This window comes from Homo sapiens, chromosome 4 (assembly GCF_000001405.40).
Source record: "Homo sapiens chromosome 4, GRCh38.p14 Primary Assembly".
In the NCBI taxonomy this organism is placed as follows: Eukaryota; Metazoa; Chordata; class Mammalia; order Primates; family Hominidae; genus Homo; species Homo sapiens.
In genome coordinates, this window is record NC_000004.12 from 127,595,937 (window position 1) to 127,618,605 (window position 22,669).

At 37.5% G+C, this 22,669-nt stretch overlaps 1 long non-coding RNA gene across 2 annotated transcripts, besides 3 other annotated features; it reads right to left on the minus strand.

The window, feature by feature from the left end:
• Window positions 870–1,039: an enhancer, noted in NCBI's record as "experimental_73569 CRE fragment used in MPRA reporter constructs". NCBI's record gives its function as "activates a minimal promoter by MPRAs in K562 erythroleukemia cells, with activity observed for both the introgressed and non-introgressed 4:128518046 variant alleles {active_cell/tissue: K562}" and the evidence as "EXISTENCE:reporter gene assay evidence [ECO:0000049][PMID:34662402]".
• Window positions 1,838–2,132: a silencer, noted in NCBI's record as "tiled region #5357; K562 Repressive DNase matched - State 9:DNaseU". NCBI's record gives its function as "represses a minimal TATA promoter and a strong SV40 promoter by Sharpr-MPRA in K562 cells {active_cell/tissue: K562}" and the evidence as "EXISTENCE:reporter gene assay evidence [ECO:0000049][PMID:27701403]".
• Window positions 8,735–9,558: an enhancer, noted in NCBI's record as "OCT4-NANOG hESC enhancer chr4:128525826-128526649 (GRCh37/hg19 assembly coordinates)". NCBI's record gives its function as "activates a minimal SCP1, AML or CMV promoter by ChIP-STARR-seq in naive and primed H9 embryonic stem cells {active_cell/tissue: H9 hESC(naive and primed)}" and the evidence as "EXISTENCE:reporter gene assay evidence [ECO:0000049][PMID:30033119]".
• LOC105377412 (uncharacterized) lies at window positions 8,951–22,269 on the minus strand. 2 transcript variants are annotated; one of them, XR_939185.3, is made up of 3 exons: window positions 22,153–22,269; window positions 17,933–18,034; window positions 8,951–9,310 (listed from the first exon to the last, which is right to left on the minus strand). It is a non-coding gene; the product is annotated as an uncharacterized LOC105377412 (long non-coding RNA). The 2 variants fall into 2 exon arrangements; XR_001741827.3 differs by lacking the exon at window positions 22,153–22,269 and adding an exon at window positions 20,373–20,507.
• Between the last annotated feature and the right edge of the window lie 400 nt (window positions 22,270–22,669).

Genomic DNA, 22,669 nt, shown 5'->3' on the forward strand with positions numbered 1-22,669 from the left:
CTAGGTTTCAACATATGAATTCTGAGGAGACACATTCAGAGACCCTAGGAATAGGTCCATAGGAATATTTTATGAGCTATATTTACACTTGAAGGCAATTGTCATAGAACCTGGTATAATAAATAGGTAAAGTACCTTTAAACTCGTATTGTGAACTTTATTAAAGAGATATGATAAAGTCCTGAAGAAGCTATTTAACTGAGATCAGAAAACTTGAGTCTTAATCACTGTTCTGCCACTAACCTGCTGTAAAACCTTGAGCAGTCATTCAACCTCTTTGTCATCTCATAAACTGAGGAAGTTTGGAAAAGGTGATTCTGTGTGATTCTGCCCAGTTTCAAAACACTATATAATCAACACTATACTTACAGTCTGAGGAAATGACTATTGAGAGTTATTGAATTTAAAGGCTTGCCCTTTTTTTTTTTTTTTTGAGACGGAGTTTCGCTCTTGTCACCCAGACTGGATGGGCGTGATCACGCAATGGTGTGATCTCGGCTCACTGCAACCTCCGCCTCTCAGGTTCAAGCGATTCTCTTGCCTCAGCCACCTTAGTAGCTGGGATTACAGGCGCACGCCACCATACCCAGCTAATTTTTGTATTTTTAGTAGAGAAGGGGTTTTGCCATGTTGGCCAGGCTGGTCTCAAACTCCTGAGCTCAGGTGATGTGCCTGCCTCGGCCTCCCAAAGTGCTGGGATTACAGGCATGGGCCACCATGCCTGGCCAAGTCTCGCTTTTTAAAACATATTGTTGGTAATATTATGCCAAAATTGATGATCAGGCACATACCAAGCCCCTGAGAATTATATCATTCCAATACAAAACATAAGCTACTTTATAACAATCTATTTTATAATATGGTTTCCAGAAATGTGTTATGTTGAAAATCAATCTTTAAAATCACCCCACATTATCAGAAAATAATTCAAAAAATATTTTATTTCTGTTTTTTGTGTGTGTGTGTGTTTGTTTTTGTTTTGAGAGAGGGTCTCGCTCTGTCGCCTAGGCCGGAGGCACGATCACGGCTCACTGCAACCTCTGCCTTCCAGGCTGAAGAGATTCTCCCACCTCAATCTCTTGAGTAGCTGGGACTGCAGGTGTACACCACCATGCCCGGCTAATTTTTTTGTTTTGTTTTTTGTTTGTTTGTTTGTTTGTTTGTTTATAGAGACAGGGTTTCACTGCTTTGCCCAGGCCAGCCTGAACAAATATTTGTTGATCACTTACCGTGGGTCAAGCTTTGTTTTAGACATTGCATGAAAAAATAATACTATACACCACCTCTGTGGCCCAGCTACTCGTGAGGCTGAGGTGGGAGGATAACTAGAGCCCAGGAGTTGTGGTACAGCCTGGGCACCATAGCCAGATTGTCTCAAAAAAACAAGACAAAACTTGGATTAAGATACTCTTCTGTCCTCAAGAACAGAATTCAAGAAAAATATAAAATAGCTTTAATATAAGGTAGGTCTTAATATAAGACCTGGTAAAGGCATAAGCTGAGTGCATAATTCAGGGGGGGAAAGGGATGTGACATCCAAATGAGAACAGGGAGGGCGTAACCAAGAACTTGGCATCTAGATGTATCTGGAAGATGGCTTGAATTTTTACAGATGAAAATGAAAAAAAGTATTCCTGGTGAATAGAACAGCAAGAGAAAATGTGAAAAGTTGAGAAAATGTAGCACATTTTCAAGAAAAAAAAAGCAAATTGATGAGTTTGACTTGAGTGTAGAGAATAAAATAAGTCATGAGAGGTTATACAGAGACAGCCAATTATAGAGGGTCCTAAATACCAGGCTGAAGGATACATACTCAGTTTGAAATATGCAAGTGGGTCTCTGAAGATGTTGATCAGGGGATTACAAGACAGAATGTTTTGAGGGAAAAAAGGAGAAAGCTAAAGAAACTGTGTGTAGCAAGGCCTCTTGACAGTGAAGAGTCAGGCAGGCAGGCTGAGGGTGAGGCAGGTTCCAGATAATGTCAATAGCTTAAGGGGAAGACAAAATATTGGAGCAGTCAAATGTCAGTGGAAGCAATTAGATATGGACTGTAGGATTGCGAGGAGTATGGTGACATGAAAGTTTCTTTCACTCTTTCAAGGTCCCAGAGACTCTCAGGATTCTGTGACAGAAGCTCCCCTGTCAGTGAATGCTGTTACCCTAAATTCCTCACTTTCTCTGGTAGTTATCAGAACTAGGAGTTGCTCAGCATATTAGCAAAATTAAAGGGGAAGAAAAAAGTTCTAGATGTGCCCTATTTCCAAAGTAAATATAGTCCCTCCAAAATGTGGGTAAATAAAATTTTTAAAGATCAAATTATGTGCTATATATCCAGGAATCTTGGAGTACAAGATTTCCTTTTGCAAAACAAAGGATCATTTTGTGCCAAAAGTAGCTGCCCAATAATTTCTATCTTTCAACCTTCTTTTAAACCTACTGCCTCTTTCTAATAAATCTAAAAATCTCAGGCCCTTTTTAAATGTTATTCAAACTTTCAATGTAAAATGATTAAGAACACATCAAAGTAATTATACAATGAAATGTGCTTTTTTTATTATTATACTTTAAGTTCTAGGGTACATGTGCACAACGTGCAGGTTTGTTACATATGTTTACATGTGCCATGTTGGTGTGTTGCACCCATTAACTCGTCATTTACATTAGGTATATCTCCTAATGCTATCCCTCCTCCCTTCCCCCACCCCATGACAGGCCCTGGTGTGTGATGTTCCCCAACCTGTGTCCAAGTGTTCTCATTGTTCAAAGCTGAAATGTGCTTCTTAAAACAATATATGCTCCTACTGATTCTGATGTCACCACCAGCTACCTCCCAGAATACACCCTTATCCCACACCAAAAGACCTCTACAATATTTGAACAAAAGCACTGACTCTAAAACAGAGTCATTGTTTGCAAAAAAAAAAAGATACACCATTTGAACTTTGCTGTCTCAGAGCTAATTGCACAATCAAAAGAGGGCAAGTTTATTAGTGAAACTTCCTAATTATCTTTACACTAAAGAAGCTAACTACAAACAGAAAAAAAAAGAATACTCCAAAAGTCATATATTTTTTGGAATGCTAATAGATTTGCTTTTCTAATTATGTTTAATGTAACTTATTATTGCATTTCCTAATCCCACACTGACATAACATAGGAGACAGATCACAAACAGTGCGGATTAGAAGAAGCCAGTGAAAGTTTCAAAATGTGTTGGAAAAACCCGTAAAACAGAAAACTCATACAGTATCTTGAGAACCAAGATACAGTAAGGGCAGTGACTTAAAAGACCTGTAAATAGTCCTTCACAATTTTTTCTGTCATCATCTTTTTAGGTTGGTAGTGTTACATTACAATTGAAAAATTCATTCCTATCGTTCTATAATTTTTTTAAATTTCATGTGGTTTTTTTCCTTGCTTTTTTCTTTCTTGCTCCTCATATGGTTCCCCACCTTCTGCAGCACCTAGACACGATCCATCAGCTAGATAGTCATTTCTCAGGAAAGTACTGATGCAAAAAGGGAGGAAAGTCATCAAATGAGTTGTCGTTTTCATTTTTACAGATGAAAACACTGAGCTGATAAATACCAAAGTCAAAATTTAAACCCCAAAATGACAGCTGCTTACATTTATACACCACTTATACTTTTTAAAGGATTTCATACATATAGTTTAAATTTACTTAACTTTTTTTTTTTTTTGATGGAGTCTCTCTCTGTCGCCCAGGCTGGAGTGCAGTGGCGTGATCTCGGCTCACTGCAAGCTCCACCTCCCAGGTTCAAGCGATTCTCCTGCCTCAGCCTCCCAAGTTGCTGGGATTATAGGTGCATGCCACCACGCCCGGCTAATTTTTGTATTTTTAGTAGAGACGGGATTTCACCATGTTGGTCAGGTTGGTCTCAAACTCCTGACCTCGTGATCCGCCTGCCTCAGCCTCCCAAAGTGCTGGGATTACAGGCGTGAGCCACTGCACTGGGCCAAAATTTACTTAACTTTTATTAGATAATTTTATCTAAAAATGGGTTCATGAAGGCAGGGGAGAGATATGCTAAGATTCATATTTGTGATACTTGCATTTTTTTAAATTCCACATATAAATATAAAAATTAGGGGTAAAAATGTTAAGAAAACACTTGCTTTTTTAGGTTTTCGTTAAGCCATGTGGTTTTATAAAGTTATCTATAAAATTGTTCAGATTATTTTACATAGTTTGGTCTAAACTTAAGCCAATAAGAATATTTAGGCAGATGTCCAGTCTAAAATAAACCTATCAGCAGGGCACCGTGGCTCACTCCTGTAGTCCCAGCACCTTGACAGTTCGAGGCAGGCAGATTGCTTGAGCCTAAGAGTTCAAGACCAGCCTGAATAACATGACAACACCCTGTCTCTACTAAAAATACAATTAGCCAGGTGTGGTGGTGCATGCCTGTAGCCCCAGCTACTCAGGAGGTTGAGGTGGAAGGATTGCTTGAGCCCAGGAGTCAGAGGTTGCAGCAGGCCGAGATCCTGCCACTGCACTGCAGCTTGGGCAACAGAGTGAGACCCTGTCTCAAAAAAAACAATAATAATAATAAATAAAATATAAAATAAAGTAAACCTATCAAAAAAGAAACTGAGGCTAAAAAAACTACTTCTTCTTTCTGTCATCTCTATAGTTCATGAGGATTTGTTCTTACTCAAATTATTTGAGCATATTTTGTTGTAGCATATACACAGTATTTTGAGAATTACAAACCCAAAGCAATGCATAGAGAATGTGCCCAATAAGAGAATTGAATGCATAAATAAGTTAAATTGAATAGACAGCAAAAGGATAGGTAGGTGTAATAAGAAAACTTGAGAATGGAAATAGAAGCAGGATAATTTCAGTGATATCTTATAATAAAATGACAATTGGGAAATGAATGATTTAACTCATTGATGCTTCTACATAATTTATTTGTGTTTTTAAATTCCAGGTGCGTTTAAAATAAAGGTAAGTCTAAAATTATATCAAGATTTTTTGTGCGCTAGAAATGCTAAAAACTTGATATTTTGTATTATTTGTTGACTTATTTTAAGGGAAATTAAGTCACATTAAAGATTATTTAAAGATTTGTTTCCAATATGAAAAATTCGATATTCTTGTGCCCTGTGACCTACTTATCCACTTTTTGGTTTTTGTTGTTTCAGTATTCAATAATATGCTGAGATATTTTAGAAAATGAAAATTTTCATACTTAATTTCTCAAGCATATTAACAAATTGCATCACATATGAACAGCTGCATATAAAGTGGACCAATGTCTTTGAACAAAGCAGTGAATGCCCTCTAGTGTTTCTTGCTAGAATATCTGTTTTAATAACAGAAAGATAAATTATATATTTAAATGATATTTTTATAACTATTTAAAAAGTAAATTATAAAAAACAGAATCTGAATATGTAAAATGTCTCAAATGTAATAAAAAATAAGAGTAGCAATACATATTGTCCAATCTAAACAACAGATATTATTGTAATGTATACATAATGGTGATAGAAATCAGAGATTTCCTGAGAGTTTTTCAGATGTGAAACATACATCAAGCCTCATTTCTAGTACTAATTTTCTAGCTAACTCTAAACTAAAGTACCTATAGAAGTCTTTTTTTGAGACAGGATCTTGCTCTGTCATCCAGGCTAGAATGCAGCAGCGCGATCATGGCTCACTGCAGGCTTGAACTCCTGGGTTCAAAGGATCCTCCCATCTCAGCTTCCCAGATAGCTGGAATTACAGGTGCACATCACCATGCCCAGCTCATTTTTTATTTTTTGTAAAGACAGAGTCTTGCTATGTTTCCCAGGCTGGGTCGAACTCCTGGATCAAGCAATCCTCCCACATTGGCCTCTGAAAGAAGAAGTCATTCTCAAAGCAGCAAATACACATATTTTGTCCCAAAAGCCATACCTGTGCCCTGTCCATGAGCATGCATACACAGAGCTTCTATCTCTAGAAGATAAAACACTATTCCCACGGGCATCTGCTGCCTCTGCTCAAGTCATCCTGTTAATAATGGCCATAGGGAAGCAGTAAAGAATACCATTTACCTGGACACTCGCCAAGCCTGCAATTTTCCAGTGTGCCTTGACTTAACTTTACACGGCAGCAATCATTTCAAGAATATACAATCCCAAGAATAAAAAAATACCAATACCTCAGTGATAAGCACCAGTGCCTGGTCTATCTAGTGTAGCATTTGCTTAGAGAGAAGAAACGAACATCAAAAACCATGTTGGTGAATATCTGAGCTTGTCATGACTTAACAGATAGTGCATGTCATCTTAGAAACTAAGGAAAGTGATTATAACTGTCACAAATGAAAAAAGTCATTGGAAAATATTTGAGTTGACTACATCAAGTAGTGAGTATCTGTTATTTTCTTGCCCAGCATCCCTTCACTTTCTTTTGGGGACCACCCCTCTTGTATTGCACAAAACTGGCATTTCACGGAAGGTATTTTACTTTCTTCAGGACCAAGGAATGGGCTCAGAGTGCAACCTTACCCAGACTTTAACTTAAGGAGTATCTTAGGCAGAGCAAAGAGGGGATGAAAAGTTTCTCCCTAGACCTCAGAGCCTCCTGTTCCTGCACTTCCCAAGGCCTAGATGTTCAGCTTTTCCTTGGAGTCTGTGTGAAATATCAGTAGCTCATTTTTTCCTCTTTTTGCTTAAGTTAACCAGAATAAGGATGCCTAATTAAACTACTTCATAATAACAGTGTTATACTTATCACAGTTAAGTGGTTGCATAAAGCATGAAGAACAAAATTAAGTGGAATAATTATTTTGTATTTTAACTACAAATGAATAATTTATGGACAATATTTTATCATGTAAGAACATTATCAGCTACAGTTTTAAAACAGGATTTGTGGAGATGTTACATTATTAATTTACTTTCATGAAAACCTATAAAAGAGCACAATAAAAAAATTAAAACAAAAATATTATTCATTGCTCAGGTCTACAGATAAACAAAGATGTCTTCTTTCATTCTGTGCTTTAATTGTCAGGTTCTATAAAAATGTGTTTCCTCCACCACTGCCTCAAAAATTGAAGGGAGAGAATTAACCTCTCTGTCTCTCCAGATCTTTCATGCAATTCAAATTTACACTTAGTTTTGTTTCCATTTTTAACCTACCAAAAGGTAGCTAAGTTATAATATTTGTCTTTATTAGTAAATAATCTATGTATTTTACATGAAAGAAGCAAAGCAAAATAAGATCTATTTTAAAACATATTTGTTTATTTAAATAGTTGTTTCAGAAAATTTTTACTTAAATATCTTTACATGTACTATAAATGTCAAAATTCCTATGAAAGATCAGAATACCTACTTATATTTTTAGCAGATAATTTTATTAGAAATACAATTAAACTATGATTATATAAACCTTAAAAATGCAATGTGCTTTAGTTTACTGAGTGTTCTCAAGTGGGTTATTTCATTTAAGCCTTATGACCATGTGAATGGGAGTCAGAGAGTTATAGCCCCATCTTACAGATAAGGAAAGGGAAGTTTAACGAAGGTAAGTGGCTTACCCAAGGTAAGTGAAGCCAAGACTCAGATGCAGATATTCTACCTCCCAGGCTATGGTTTCTTTCCATTCTCTTATACTACAAAGTAATCTGAGGTTTTATTTTCCTAGAGTTGCATTAACCTCTTAGTGTAAATATCAGTGAGATAGAAGCAAACCAAGCACATGGAATGACACAAGATCCCTGGGCAGTTTCCAGAAATCGCAAGTTACTGGTGCTTATTGCCTTTCTATCAGGAACTGAAGTGTCTTTCACTTCACATAGTTGATTATTCTCTAGGATACTCCAATAATGTATATCCCATTTCAATGAGAGCCAACAAATCTGAATATGCATTTGCATCATCACCAGCACTTAATATTGAAAAATAACACTAAATATGATTTGTTGTGTGGGTTAAAATGACATTAAAGTCCTTCTCTTCATCAGTAAAAAAAAAATTTTTTTTTTTTTTGAGATGGAGTTTTGCTCTTGTTGCCCAGGCTGGAGTGCAATGGCACGATCTCGGCTCACCACAACCTCCGCCTCCCAGGTTCAAGTGATTCTCCTGCCTCAGCCTCCCGAGTAGCTGGGATTACAGGCATGCACCACCACACCTGGCTAATTTTGTATTTTAGTAGAGATGAGGTTTCTCCATGTTGGTCAGGCTGGTCTCGAACTCCCGACCTCAGGTTATCCACCCACCTCAGCTTCCCAAAGTGCTGGAATTACAGGCATGAGAAGGCATTTTTCTAGAAGCGATGTTGGATTTGCATTGATTTATCATCACTCTTGTCCAAAAGCCCTTGTGACTAGTGCAAACAATAACATGCTGACTAAATTAAGTAATTAAGTATATTATTTTAATATACTTTGGTCAACTCTATCAGTTAAAAATTGGAGGCTTTTGACCCTATCTTTAATATTTTTATTATATAAATTTATTTATATTTATTAATCCTGTCTTTGCATCTGTTTCTCTGAGATCCTGGAGAATTAAAGGATCACAGAGAGCCTTTATACCTTATATGGTATATAGTTATATCATGTAAATAGTATAATTACTTTGAATTTTAACTATAACATCCTTTGAGATCTTATAGTTAAAATACAAAATAATTATACCATTTTATTTCATTCTTCATGCTTTGATGCCATGGAGCATCAAAGTGTCAAGTGGTTCCCTAGGACACATGAGCTTTTCCACACCATGCACTAATTAGCAAAGCTCAAAGAGACCCGGACCTGAGTTTAAGATTTCAAAATCTAATTTAATGCATAAGAACCAAATAGTAGATCACCCAGATATTAGAAAATAAGATCAATGTCTCCACTTGCTCATTTTTCATAAAAGTTCCAGAAGGGAAATTGTGTTAGCCCAGGACCTCAGAGAAACAGATACAAAGACAGGATTAAATATGTCAGGATTTTAATAGTGGGAAATGCCTGTGTAAAAAGAAATAAAGAAGGAGCTAGGAAAGGCTGGGACAGCTGTCGGACTGCATCCAAGTCTGACCCCAGGATGAGGGAGAGAAGGTTGAATGGAAGAATCCTACACTACTCTGCAGTCTAAGGATTGTTTGTCAAAGCCATGGGGAAGTACTCCAGCCTAAGCGGTGGACAAAGGAGCCCCACCTGTCTTCCGGGACTAAGACGGCCTCAGTATCGCCACAGCATTCAGTCAGTCCATTGGTAACAGCAATGAATGGGAGGTGTGGCTGACTTCAAAGCACAGCAGCTGGGTGCTCTGTCTGTGAGGTGCATTTTCATGCCTGCCAAAGATAGGATGAAGGGAAGGTGCATGAGAGAAGTTTCTCTAAAATCTTTTAAAATGTTAAAGGAAACATTTTTTATCAGACATACATTAATTACTTCATAAAAGAACTAAGTCCCTGTAATTTTGGAACAATATCAATAGCATTACTATAAACAGAAAATCGAGAAAAGCATTTTGAATTTCAATTTTTAGAAAATGTAAAATCATCAAATCATTTTAAAAAGTCTATAGTTTCATTCAACACCAGGTGGAGCCCTTTTGCTTTTCAAAACTAAAAGAGGAAACTTCTTAATTTAATACAGGCTTAGGCTGATTATTTCACAACTCTTAAGTCATCATTTTAAATCATTTTAAGACTTTTGCATTATATTTATCACCATTGTAAACCTGATTTTTTTCCAAATACCATGGACTAGCTAAAACTGCAATGTTAATATAAAGCAACCAATTCCAATATTGTTAAATATCTAAAATAAAGTTTTTAATAATATTGTTTTAAACATTTGTATACTTTTAAAGGAAAGAGTAAAATGTGATTTAAATTTCATATTCAATACTTAAACAAATTGAACTACTTAAAATGCTCTCCCGAATCTCTAACTTGCTACGTCATCATTCTTTTTATCCAAAATACCTTCTCTATAGAAAATGTATTGCTTTAAAACAGGTTTCAGTTAGCAAGCAATGAGTTTCTGAAAATATATATATTTAAAAAGCAAAAAAAAATTAAGTTTAAAAAACACGTTTCAGGTTATAAAGTATAATATTTTTAATATCTGTCCTGTGCCAATCAGAAAGTATAGGATAAAAATAACAATGTTTATAAAGTAGACATGCTTTTTCCAAGTAAATTGTAACAGCAAGGAGGCATTATTTATTCTGTGTCTATGCTTCAGAATTCTGTCCTTCTCATTGCAGGGAAATAGAAACAGATAAATATAAATATATTTTTGTAATAAAAATGTTAATGATAGGGTTAAAAGCCCCCAATTTTTAACTGACAGAGTTGACAACAGTATATTAAAAGTGTATATTTAATGGCATAGTTCGTATACATTTTTATTTATTCATCCATCCAAGAAATACTTACAGAGATCTTGCTATATGCTGAAGAGACAGGAATAAATAAGACATTCATAGTACCTGCCCTTGAAAGTTCAGAAGGCATTCAATGAAGCAAGCATTATAATAAAAGCTATTGTAATTAAGGAAATACACAGTACTCTGGAAGCACCCAGCAAGGGAACCTAAGGGCTAACCTAATCTGGGGACACGGAAGACCTTCCAAAGAATTGAAATTTAAGCTGAGACTCCTCAGTAGGAGAGAATGAGGCAAAGAACAAAAGGCAGGGTTGGGGTTTTTATGCTTATTTTATTTTTATTGACATATAATAATTTTACATAGTTAATAGGGTACCACACGATATTTAGATACATGTATATATTGTGTAACCATCAAATCAGGATAAAAGGTAGGGTGTTTAATGTGAGCAAACAGGTTTTAAAAGGCCTTTGGGTGAGATAAAGTAGGTCAAATTCTAGAAGGTAAAACCATTTCAACATAGCTAAAACACAGAGCTCTAGAGGAAGGGTGAAAATAGAAGACCTGAAGAGATTTGTGAGAACCAAATTGTGGAGGCTCTTTCAACAGAATCAGGAAATTTGGATTTTATCCAAAAACAATGGAAAGCATAAATCAAGGTTCTGAGTTAAAACATGAAAGAAAGCATGTGATAACCAGATTTAGAAGTGTTTAGTGTCTACAAGAGCAGTATATTTGATGAATCATCAGTACCTCTACCAAAGTAAACTACTTACTTAGACATGATAATTTCAGCTTTTCTTATCCATTAGAATAGTAGCATTGAAATACAAGCTCAGTTTATATAATGATTGTTGATTTCAATGACATTTTTACCATCATACCTCTTGAAAAGTTATACTGACTTTCACATTATCTGGGTTTTTTTTTTTCTTGTTATAATTACCTTTCCCAAAAAAACATGCTAAGTAGATTTACTGTAAAAACTGATATTTCAATATTACAATTTTAGAAAAAGTCACCATTTTACTCAATACATTTCTAGTCAGGAAATTTCAAAATGGAGCAAATTTGAATTGAGTTCCACGTCTGGATGGTCCAAAAATATTTTTCTGTGTGGACCTATGCCAACAGATCTATGCTCTGCAGTTTGCGCTACACATTAGCTGTTTCCGTGTGTTTCAAAGCACTGTAATGTCTACCCTGTATTTTTCTTTGAAGGCGGCCTTAACTGTTATAAACTTTATTTTTTATTTATTTATTTATTTATTTATTTATTTATTTATTTATTTTGAGACGGAGTCTCGCACCGTCGCCCAGGCTGGAGTGCAGTGGCGCGATCTTGGCTCACTGCAAGCTCCGCCTCGCGGGTTCACGCCATTGTCCCGCCTCAGCCTCCCGAGTAGCTGGAACTGCACGGGGTTTCACCATGTTAGCCAGGATGGTCTGGGATCTCCTGACCTCGTGATCCGCCCACCTCGGCCTCCCAAAGTGCTGGAATTACAGGCGTGAGCCACCGCGCCCGGCCTATAAACTTTATTTTTAAGTGTAATTTGAGTGCAAATAATTGTGATCTCCCTAAAGTCAAAAAAATTGATGAAGATCATGCAGAAAAAAAGAATGCACCTTTCAAAGAATGACTCCCCAACCCCCCACATCCTCCTTCGCCACCCACTATGAAGCCATTTCTTCCTCCTTTGGAGAATATAATAAATCTTCATCATGTTACATTTTATGTATGACCTGTTTATTTACTTTCAAGTTGTTTTTATTACTTATATTTATATTATTCAAATGATCTTTTTTCTATCTGTGAAAAGTGTTTGGTTATCTTGGGTTGAGACGGCATACACTGTAATTTTCCTGTTAAGTTTCACAGAAAGAAATTTTTTAAAAATTTAAATTTATGCCATAATTTTAAGGCATATCATTAAAGAGTATTTATTTATCTGTCTCTTTTTTAACTGCCTGCTCCTGTCTTTTCATTTTTCTTTTGGGGTTTTAGTCTCTTTTCACTCCTTAATTTTTTAAACTAAAAAAAGTGTTATTTAGCTATAATTGACATACAATAAGTGGCACACATTTAAAATATTTAACTTGATGAGCTTTGACATATGCATATGTATAACAATCACACCGATTTCCCCCCACATGAAAAGATGCATAATTTCACATATAATTAGAAATGCCAAATACTAACACAATTTTTCACGTTTTAGATAGGCAAAAATTCAGGAGCTTTTCCATACACACCATTAAGGAGAAATGAACAGGGCACTCTCAAACTTTTTACATGGCACTACAAGATGATGTAATCTATTAGGAGGGTATTAGCAAATTGCATGTGCATTTATTCTTTGTTCCAGCATTTTTACTTCTAGGAATTTACCCTGAAGGTATACCTCACCCAAAACAAAAGGTTATTCAATATGGCATTACTGATAATAGTAAAATATTAGGAACGATCAAAATGCCCATGCATAGGAACCTGGTTGAATAAACAAGATGCAGTATTATGCAGGTCTAAAATTGAACAAAGAGCTGGGACTCCCTCCCTCACAAGGTGCACAGAAATGTGAGAGACCTGCACAGAACTGTCTCTCTCCCAACACCCAGATCTTGGTGTCTAAATACCACCCCTTACTTTTAAATAAATACACAAATAATTTTTAAAATGAATTTCTTTGATAAACAGTTGATTATAAATTTGGAGCAAGGAAAGTTCAAGGTGAATTTGAAATATTGTACTGTGTTGGAAAGCAAAAGAATCCTGAAAAATTGATGGAGATGTTCAAAGGAACACTGGAGTCAGAACAATACCAAATTGGTAACATAATCAGAAAAAAAAGAGAATTGAAGTATCTTTATAGTACAGTAATGTGACTGCATCTTGGGTGTGATATACTGTAAGGACAAAAAAAACTGCAAACAACTACTGAACTTATAATGACTTTAGCATAATAATTCTAATCCCAATTTATATGAAAGGCAGGAAAGAGCAATTGTGTGAATATATTGATATTCTTAGGAACTGGGGCTCTCTCTGTTGGAGAAGGGAGATGTAAATATGGATTAGGGGAAGGAGAGGAAGAACTTAATGGCATTGTTTTGAAATAGGAGTTGTTAGTATCAACTTGTGATTTTTTAAAAATATATTCCTAGTTTTCTCCATTGAAAAGGCATGGAAGCAATGATACATCAGTAGCAGTAAACACACCCATTCCCCAGTGTCAAGAATACAGAGTCTGAGATTTTATCCTACTTGAAACCTGACAAGCTAGCCTGCCAGTTTCATGAATGCCAGCAGAACACAAGAAACTCCTGGGTCAGCAACAAAGGACTTTATTATTCGTGGAAATAGAGTTCCCAGAGTACAGCATTTGCTCCTGTTCTCCAACCTCAATTCCCACAGAGCAACGTGAAAAGAACCAAGTGACGTCTGCACACGCAATGGGTTCTGTTATAGGAAAAAAACCCTGAACTTAGCCGAATCTTGTAGAATGGGAAGGCTGTCTGACATTTGCCCCAGAGAGAGACATTATCTTGATTACACTGGACAGTAAACAAACCTGGCCTTTGTTATGGAGAAAGACATTATCTCTATCTTCCAAGGCTGTTCACTTCACAAACACCCTGGAAAAAGGAGTCCAGAACAAAGAGTTGGGACTCCCTCCATCACAAGGTGCACAGAAATGTGAGAGATCTGCACAGAATTGTCTCTCTCCCAACACCCAGATCTTGGTGTCTAAATACCACTCCTTACTTTTAAATAAATACATAAATAATTTTTAATGAATTTCTTTGATAAACAGTTGATTACAAATTTGGAGCAAGGAAAGTTCAAGGTGAATTTGAAATATTGTATTGTGCTGGAAAGCAAAAGAATTCTGAAAAATTGATGGAGATGTTCAAAGGACCACTGGAGTCAGAACAATTTAAGCATCAAAAAGAATAACTATGGAATGGATTTTAACACATTAAAAATAGAAAAAGAATCTGCAAGGCAACAGTGATCCTTTAAAAAGGTAGAGGGAGTTCATCCTTAAAAGAATGCCAGCTAATAATATAAAAGCAATGAGAGAATGAGAAAATAGGTATGAATCTTCCATGGACACCAAAACTCTTGGTTAAAAAGTTATTGAGGAACACAGACTCCAAACATCACTCCAAAGATTGTTTATTGATTACAAATGGGAAAAGTTACTATTACAGTGGAGAAATCTAGCAGACACCACCTTAACCAAGTGCTTAAACTCATCATTACCAATGATGAGGCAAGTTGACATTATATGCAACCTGGAGGGATGCATTGAAAGCAGTATCACCTACGTATTATTCATATTAAAACATGTTTAACCTGATACAGTCATAAGGAAACTATAAGATAAATCCACATCATGGGCCAGGCATGGTGGCTCACATCTGTAATCCCAGCACTGTGGAAAGCAAGGTAGATCGCTTGAGCCCAGCAGTACAAGACCAGACTTGGCAACATGGCGAAACCCCATCTCTAATAAAAATGCAAAATAAATTAGCTGGGTGTGGTGGCACATGTCTGTAGACCCAGCTACTGGGGAGGCTGAGGTAAGAGGATTGCTTCAGCCTGGGAGGCAATGGTGCAGCAAGTCGAGATCGCGTCACTGCACTCCAACCTGGGTGACAGAGACCCAGTATATATATATATATATTTTTTAAATCCAAATTGTGGCCTATTCTACAAAACAACTGGCCTAGACTTTTCATAGATGTCAATACCAAAACCAGAAAAAAAAAGGACTGGTAGTATGTTTAAAATGAAAGATTAAAGAGACATGACAACTTAATGCACAAATAATTATTGATTGGCTTCTAGCTTTTTTAAAAAAATAACTAAAATATTATTGAAAAATTTGGAAATCTGAAAATGTGGACCATTTATTAGATAACACTAATGTGTCAGTCATATTGTGATAATAATATTGTGGTTACATAACAGAATGTCTTTTTTCTTTGGAAACAGATGCTAAAGTATTAGGAAAAAAACAATGTGACCTCCGCAACTTATTTTCAAAGAATTTGGAAAAACGGAGATTATGAATGTAAAAAATGCTCATTGATGAATTCTAGGTGAAGAGCATATAGATGTTCATTTCAACTTCTTTGAGGGTTGGCAATTTTTCAAAATAAAAAAGTTGAGAAAAAATTAATAAATCACATTCCCTGGTCATCTTTCCAACCTGTATTCCTGATCTCTTACAAACGTTCAGCCCACCCATTTTTAGGATCATTTAAATTACCTCTTTGGAAACATTTTCCTATTTTCTTATTATCTTATTATGGAGTCTATTAAAACTATGCATGGAATTTTGCTATCAGAGCACATGACTTTGACCTAGGGTAGATGATAACCTTTATTTTGTATCAACATTTTGTTTAAAATCTTGAATTTCTAGGCTGTCGACACTGAGATTACACCTTAACTGATTTTCAGGTCTTTCACCTAGTTCATAACTGATAACACATAGATAAATCTAATTTGGATTAATTTTTCATATATTTTCAATCACTGAAATTAATATGCCTTTTTTGTCTATTCATGTAGTTACCAGTTTATTCCATAGTCATTAAAATTCCCAAAATAGCTTAGCAACAAGCAATATCTTCAAGTATGTCACTGCCTATTCTGACTTTCTAGTATTTATAAGTTGTTAAACCCATCCAGTTCTACCTTTCCTTTTGGAGGCCTCTATTGATGACAATTCTATTCCCAGAGACTTTTCATTTTATGTCTCTAAGACTTTTTACACCTTTTAAATTGTCTACCCGCTTCATCTTTTCCCATTGCAACATTGATGGAAAATTTTGTGAAAGGCTTTTTGAATGATAAAACAAATTATGTCTATTGTTTCTGTGCATCCTTATTCATATATGCCCCCAAAATTAATATATGAGCCAGACACGATAACTTTGAATAAATTGTGCTGTCTTTCCCCTACAGAAGGCATTTGCTTGAAGTTACCAAATTCCCTTTAGTCCATTAAAGGTCAGAACACTGATTTTTTGTGCAACCACTGCCTTATCTCCTCTTAGGTTTCCTCTCACTTCCTTAATTCTCAGTTATGTGAACACACCATCCTTATTTTTACAACTTCACTGTGTCATTAATTATATCTGGACCACAACAGAATAAAAGACACTTAACAAAGGCACCGCGTCTTTGTAGCATTTCACTGTCTATTCCTACCTCCTACACAGGTTCTTACACATTCTTATGCTTACCTTTCATCCGTGTGATGCCATTAAAAGGAGAGTGAAGGGTGATACCATGCATTATGAGACAGCATTACTGTTAGCAGCTCACACAAACACACAGCATCCAGTTGAATGTTCAAAACACACTCCCGTACTCTAAGACTGAGTTGTATCTTTCAAATGAAGAAGTCAGAGGTTTCACCGCTGGTGCTCTATGCCATTTAACGAATTTCCAGCTCCTGAAGAGGGAGGCATATGCCAGGCCCCAGAGAGAATAGAGCAAGGAAAGAGCCCTTTCCACCTATTTTGTTGTAAGGGTTTGCACACAGAAAGCATTTGGATCCAAGCAAATAAAACTTTTTTTTTTTGAGGCACAGTCTTGCCTTGTCACTCAGGCTGAAGTGCAATGGCGCGATCTCTGCTCACTGCAACCTCCACCTCCCAGGTTCAAGGGATTCTCCCGCCTCAGCCTCCCGAGTAGCTGGGATGACAGGTATATGCCACCATGCCTGGCTAGTTTTTGTATTTTTAGTAGAGACGGGGTTTCACCATGTTGACGAGGTTGGTCTCATTCCTGATCTCAAGTGATCCACCTGCCTCGGCCTCCCAAAGTGCTGGGATTACAGGCATGAGCCACCGCGCCCTGCCCCAAGCAAATAAAAGTTTATCTACATATCTGCCTATCATCCTATTTATCTGTCACTCCACACACATATTATTATTCAATGATGAAAACACCTGAATATGCATTCAGGGGTCCAGGAAATGGCAAGAGTTTATCAATTGGGTATCAGATGGTGGTGGTATAAATGCTCCTGCTATGTTCTAGAGTGACAGCAGTGGGACAGCCTGAGACAGGGTAGAGCTTGGTACATCAGAGCTGAAAACTAACTCCTGAGAAAGTGGCCAGGATCCCTAACCCTGGAGGATGCCAAAAATCTAACAAGATGCCTCATCTGGTTAGGAAGATAGAACAAGAACCAAGTGATATAGGACATTAAAAGCATTTTTAATGGATGATATAGTGATTCGCATTTAATAATATTCATTAAATATTTGTTAAATAAATAATATGCATGAGGAAAAGTCAGAAATGCTAAATTGTTATAACCCTGCCGTTATGCCTCTCAATGTCTGGAAGAGTATACACATATAGAACATTACCAAAAAGAACAGTCTTATCAGAATCCTATCATGAGCACAGAGTTCAGCAGGTAAAAAACATTTCTTTCCCGCCTACGTTACACAGGCTGGTGTGTACCCAGAAGCTCTGTCTTCCGTATTCCTTCTCAGCCCCTACCTCACCTCCCACATATTCCAGCCTCGCCCTGCCAGATGACCCACCATTCTGGTGTCTTTTGTGGGCAAGGTCCTTTGAAGTCGACTTTTTGTTCCATTTTCCAGTGCAATGATGGATTCTCAAATTCTTCAGAAGGCTGAACCTAACTAAAAAACAAAACTCTTTATAGATAATTGATAATAGCTCTAACCCATTTTTAAGCTAAAAGACTCCTCCTAAATAACGATGTGTAAATAGAAATAGAGAAGCCTGCTCTGCCAACTATAAAAACTGAAGAAAGTTACTCTTTCTAAAGGAGTAATGACTAGATTAAGATATTTCTATAATTTTAAAAATCTAGACCTCCTATGTGCAAAGCAGTTTCACTGTGCACTAGTTATTATTTCAGCCCACTGCATCCCGGGCTGCACCTGTACTACTTGTGGGAGTCCAGTGAGACAAAACACTCACACATGTTAAGAAGGTACATGCAGGTCGAGTGCAGTGGCTCCTGCCTGTAATCCCAGCACTTTGAGAGGCCGAGATGGGCAGATCACCTGAGGTCAGGAGTTTGAGATCAGCCTGGCCAACATGGCGAAATCCCATCTCTACTAAAAATACAAAAATTAGCTGGATGTGGTAGCACATGCCTGTAATCCCAGCTACTCAGGAGGCTGAGGCAGGAGAATCGCTTGAACCCAGGAGTGCAGGCTGCAGTGAACCAAGATCGCACCACTGCACTCCAGCCTGGGTGACAGAGTGAGACTCCATCTCAAAAAAAAAAAAAAAAAAAAAAAAGAAGTTACATGAAGCATATTTATTACTCACAGATAGTCAGCAAAGGACAACAAAAGCCTAGGATTCACGATGAGCCAGTCCCCCAAGACTCAAGAAAGCTACCCAAGGCTGATGGAGTCTCATCTCCATGTGCCCCACTTAAAATGCAGCTGAAGGACCCCAGGAAGCAGCCCATTCTGGGTTTTATACCCTGGCAGCTACAGGACGCAGTGGGCTAAAGTGTTGGAGGGCATTCTGTTTCTAGGGCTGACTGAGCCGTTGTGGCCAATTCCTCCTTATCTCAGGCTACTGCATTCCTAGCACATTCTACGATTATTCTTGAGAACTACATGTGAGAAAGGAGGGAGAACTGGGCCAGTCCAAGGCCACCTGGAGAACTTTCCTGACTACATATGTACTGTCCTGAGGGTAGAAGAACACAATTAAATCCAATGTGTCAAGGGTAGTCAAGTATTAATATATCATTCCATACTTTGACTCATGCTATATCTTCTTCCTAGGGCAGAGAGCTCATAAATGGTCACTACATTAAAGCTGCAAGAGTGAGCCAGTGTTGGAATGGACACCTGTAGCCACTGGAAATGCCAGAGAATAAAAAGAATTTCAGAAATTCTCTAAGGACTCACACTCCACTTCATTTTTCTGTTCAATACTAGATTCCACTAGTGCAACATCCTTGCCAGGGGTCCTGCAACCTCTACTGACGAACCCCTTTAGTGACATAGAGCCCCATCACACTGGTGCATCTTCTTTTACATCGTGTTAGATGCTGTGGAGCACATTGATCTCCGCCCCTTTCATCCCCGCCTTTAGGAGGCAAGCATTCATTCTTCCACCCAGCTGGGAATGTTGACAGCTGTGATTCTCAGCTGAGTTCCTCACCAATAACTTCCTTCAGCTGAAGATAATTACCTTGCCCAAGGTTATGCCTCTTTTCTAGTTTAAATGACTGGTTAAGAGGTTACAAGGACCTTTCCCTCTTGCTTCAACTCAGAACAACTCTGAGGGACCATCTCATCTGAAGCACATGGGGTCAGCTGAGGTCTTTGTTAAGCCTGCGTTACCATTCAACAGCTCCCTCTGCCCAGTCCTTCCTTCACTCCCCTATAGTTATTGATCCTAAGTTTATTGTGATCAATAAACTTCCTATATGGAAATCTCTATCTCAGAGTCAGCTTCTCAAAAAGCCCAACTTGCATTATATAGTAAGTATAAATCTGCCCTCATATAAAGTCTACTTGTCCTAATTCTAACTTCAGAATATATACTGAATAAGACAATCTCTGTTCCACATGGTGGCCTTTAAGATGTTTGAAGGCAATTACTAGATATGTGACTTCTGGTGAGAGCTCCAACCTTTAGAGTTTGGGAGAAGAGGAACCAAAAAATGCAAAAGAACTATAGTCAGAAGAATATGGTGTCTTGGAAATTATGTCTGCATCAGAGCTGCCAAGCACTGCTAGAGATTATTTTCATCCACAGGGACTACTGGGTGGAATTGTTCATAGTCCATTGGCCATCACCATTCCTGAAAATACCCTGTATCAGTTTTCCATTGCTACATTTAAAAAATTGCCACAAACTTAGCAGTCTTAAACACACTCATTTACTAGCTCAACATATTGTAGGCCAGAAGTCCAGGCAAGCTCAACATGGTTCTCTGTTTATGGTTTTACATGGCAAAACCAAAGATTCAGCAGGACTAACCTCTTATCTGAAGGATCTGTGGAAAAATCTTCTTCCAAGCTTATCCAAGCTGTTGGCAGAATTTAGTTCCTTGTAGTTGTAGGATTGAGGTACCCTTGCCAGCAGTCAGCCAGGGGCCACTCTCTGCTTCTAGAGGCTGCCCCTCCATCTGCAAATCAGCAATGCCCCACAGAGTTCTTCTCAAGAGCATCTCTCTAACTTCCTCTTTTGCCATCAGCTGGAGAAAGCTCTCTGCTCTTCAGGGCTCATGCAATTAGATCTTTCCCACCCAGATAATCTCCCCATCTTAACATCAACTGTGCCATATAATATCAGATCATTACAGGATTGATACCTCAGCCCATTCTCAGGTTCTGAGGATTAGGGTAGAATGTCTTTTGGGGGCCATTTTAGAAATCCTGCTGACCAGTGCCCTGAACATGCCAGACAAGTTCTTTACATTTATTACACTGGTCAGCCCTGTCTTCCTCTCACTACATCAGCGTGATCTTTTCCATGCTGTTTTCAAACCTCCATCCCCTACCTGCCCTCTCATATTTAGCAGATGATCTTGTCTCCCATTTTACACACCCAAAAATAGAATCCAGCTGTCTTAGTTTCCTAGGGTTGTCATACCAAATTAATACAAACTGGGTGGCACAAAATGACAGAAATTTATCTTTTCACAATTCTGGAGGCTAGAAGCCCTAAATCAAGGTGATGAAAGGGCCATGCTCTCTCTGAAGGTTCTTGGCAACAATGTGTCGCATGCCTGCTCCTAGCCTCTGGTGCTGGCAGCAATCGTTGGCATTCCTTGGCTTATAGATGAATCACTCTGATCTCTGCCTCTGCTGTCTTATGTCACTGTCTTTCTGTGTCTTCCCATTGACTTTCCTCTGTGTGTGTGTGTATGTCTCTCTTCTCCTCTCTCATAAGGACACCAGTTATATTGGATTAGGACCCACCCTAATTCAGTGTGACCTCATCTTAACTTGATTACATCTGCAAAGATACTCCTCCAAATACAGTCACATCCAGGTACCAGGGGTTAGGATTGCCATGTATATTTTGAGGGGACATGAACCAACCCATAATGCCCCCTGACTAGAAGACTCCATCTTCAACCATTTAACTTACAAACCTTCACACCTGCCCTGATTTGTTGTCCACAGGATACCAGAGAGCAGTAACCCCTCTTCTCTGTAAGACAACTCATTTTTCTTCCTTTTATGCTCAGCCTCTTCCTCTCAGTTATTTAATAGATTATCCTCACAGTTATTTTAACCTTACTCAAGCCTCTGACATTATAATAAGGTAAGGGAGGGAAGAATAGAGGAAGGAAGGAAGAAATCTGCCTTAACACCATGTTAACCCATAACTAATTCTCTTCTGATGCAAACTTTGCAGAAGAGCTATTTCTGCTCTTTGCCTGCACTTCCTCCCCTCCAACTCACTCTCCCAGCTGTCTCAATACATCTCCCCACCACCACTACTCCATACAATCAGCACTCACTAATGAACTTCTTGTGCCTAACTTCAAAGGACATATTTCAGGCTTCATCATCCTTGACTTTCCAGCGGAAATATTAAGTTCCCTTTGCTTCCGTGATTTAAGTCCTTTCTTTCTCTGGCCACTTCTGTGTGTCCTTTCCAGGCATATATTCTTCTATCCTGCCATTAAATATTGCTGTCCTTCAAGACTCACTCCATTCTAAAGGCAATGACAACAACAACTAAGACTCATTCTTGGCTATCCATTCTTCATAGACCAAACCAGGGTGAATTTTTTAAAATAGCTCACCATGTCATCATGTCAGTCCTCTACTTAAAACTCTTCAATGACTTTATTTTGTTGCACTGAGGATAAAGACCATAATCTTTAAGGCAGTGTATATAATCTGGCCCCTGCTTGCCATGTATACCTAGAGACAGAAGTTTGAAAAAGAGAAAAAAAATTTAAAGATGTGCCAGAAATTTCTATTATTAAAAAATCAAAAAAAAGCCAATAGATATTGGAAAGGATGTGAGGAAAAGGGAATACTTTTATACTATTGTTGAAAATGTACATTAGTAAAATCTCTGTGGAAAACAGTATGGAAATTTCTCACAGAACTAAAAATAGAATTATAATTCAATCCAGCAATTCCACTTGTAGATATCTATTTAAAAAAATGAAATCATTATATCAAAAAGATACTTGGACTCAAATCTTTATCACAGCACTATTCACAATAGCAAAATCATGGAATCAACCTAAGTGTTAATCAATGGATGATTAAATAAAGAAAATGTGGTATATATACACCATGGAATACTAT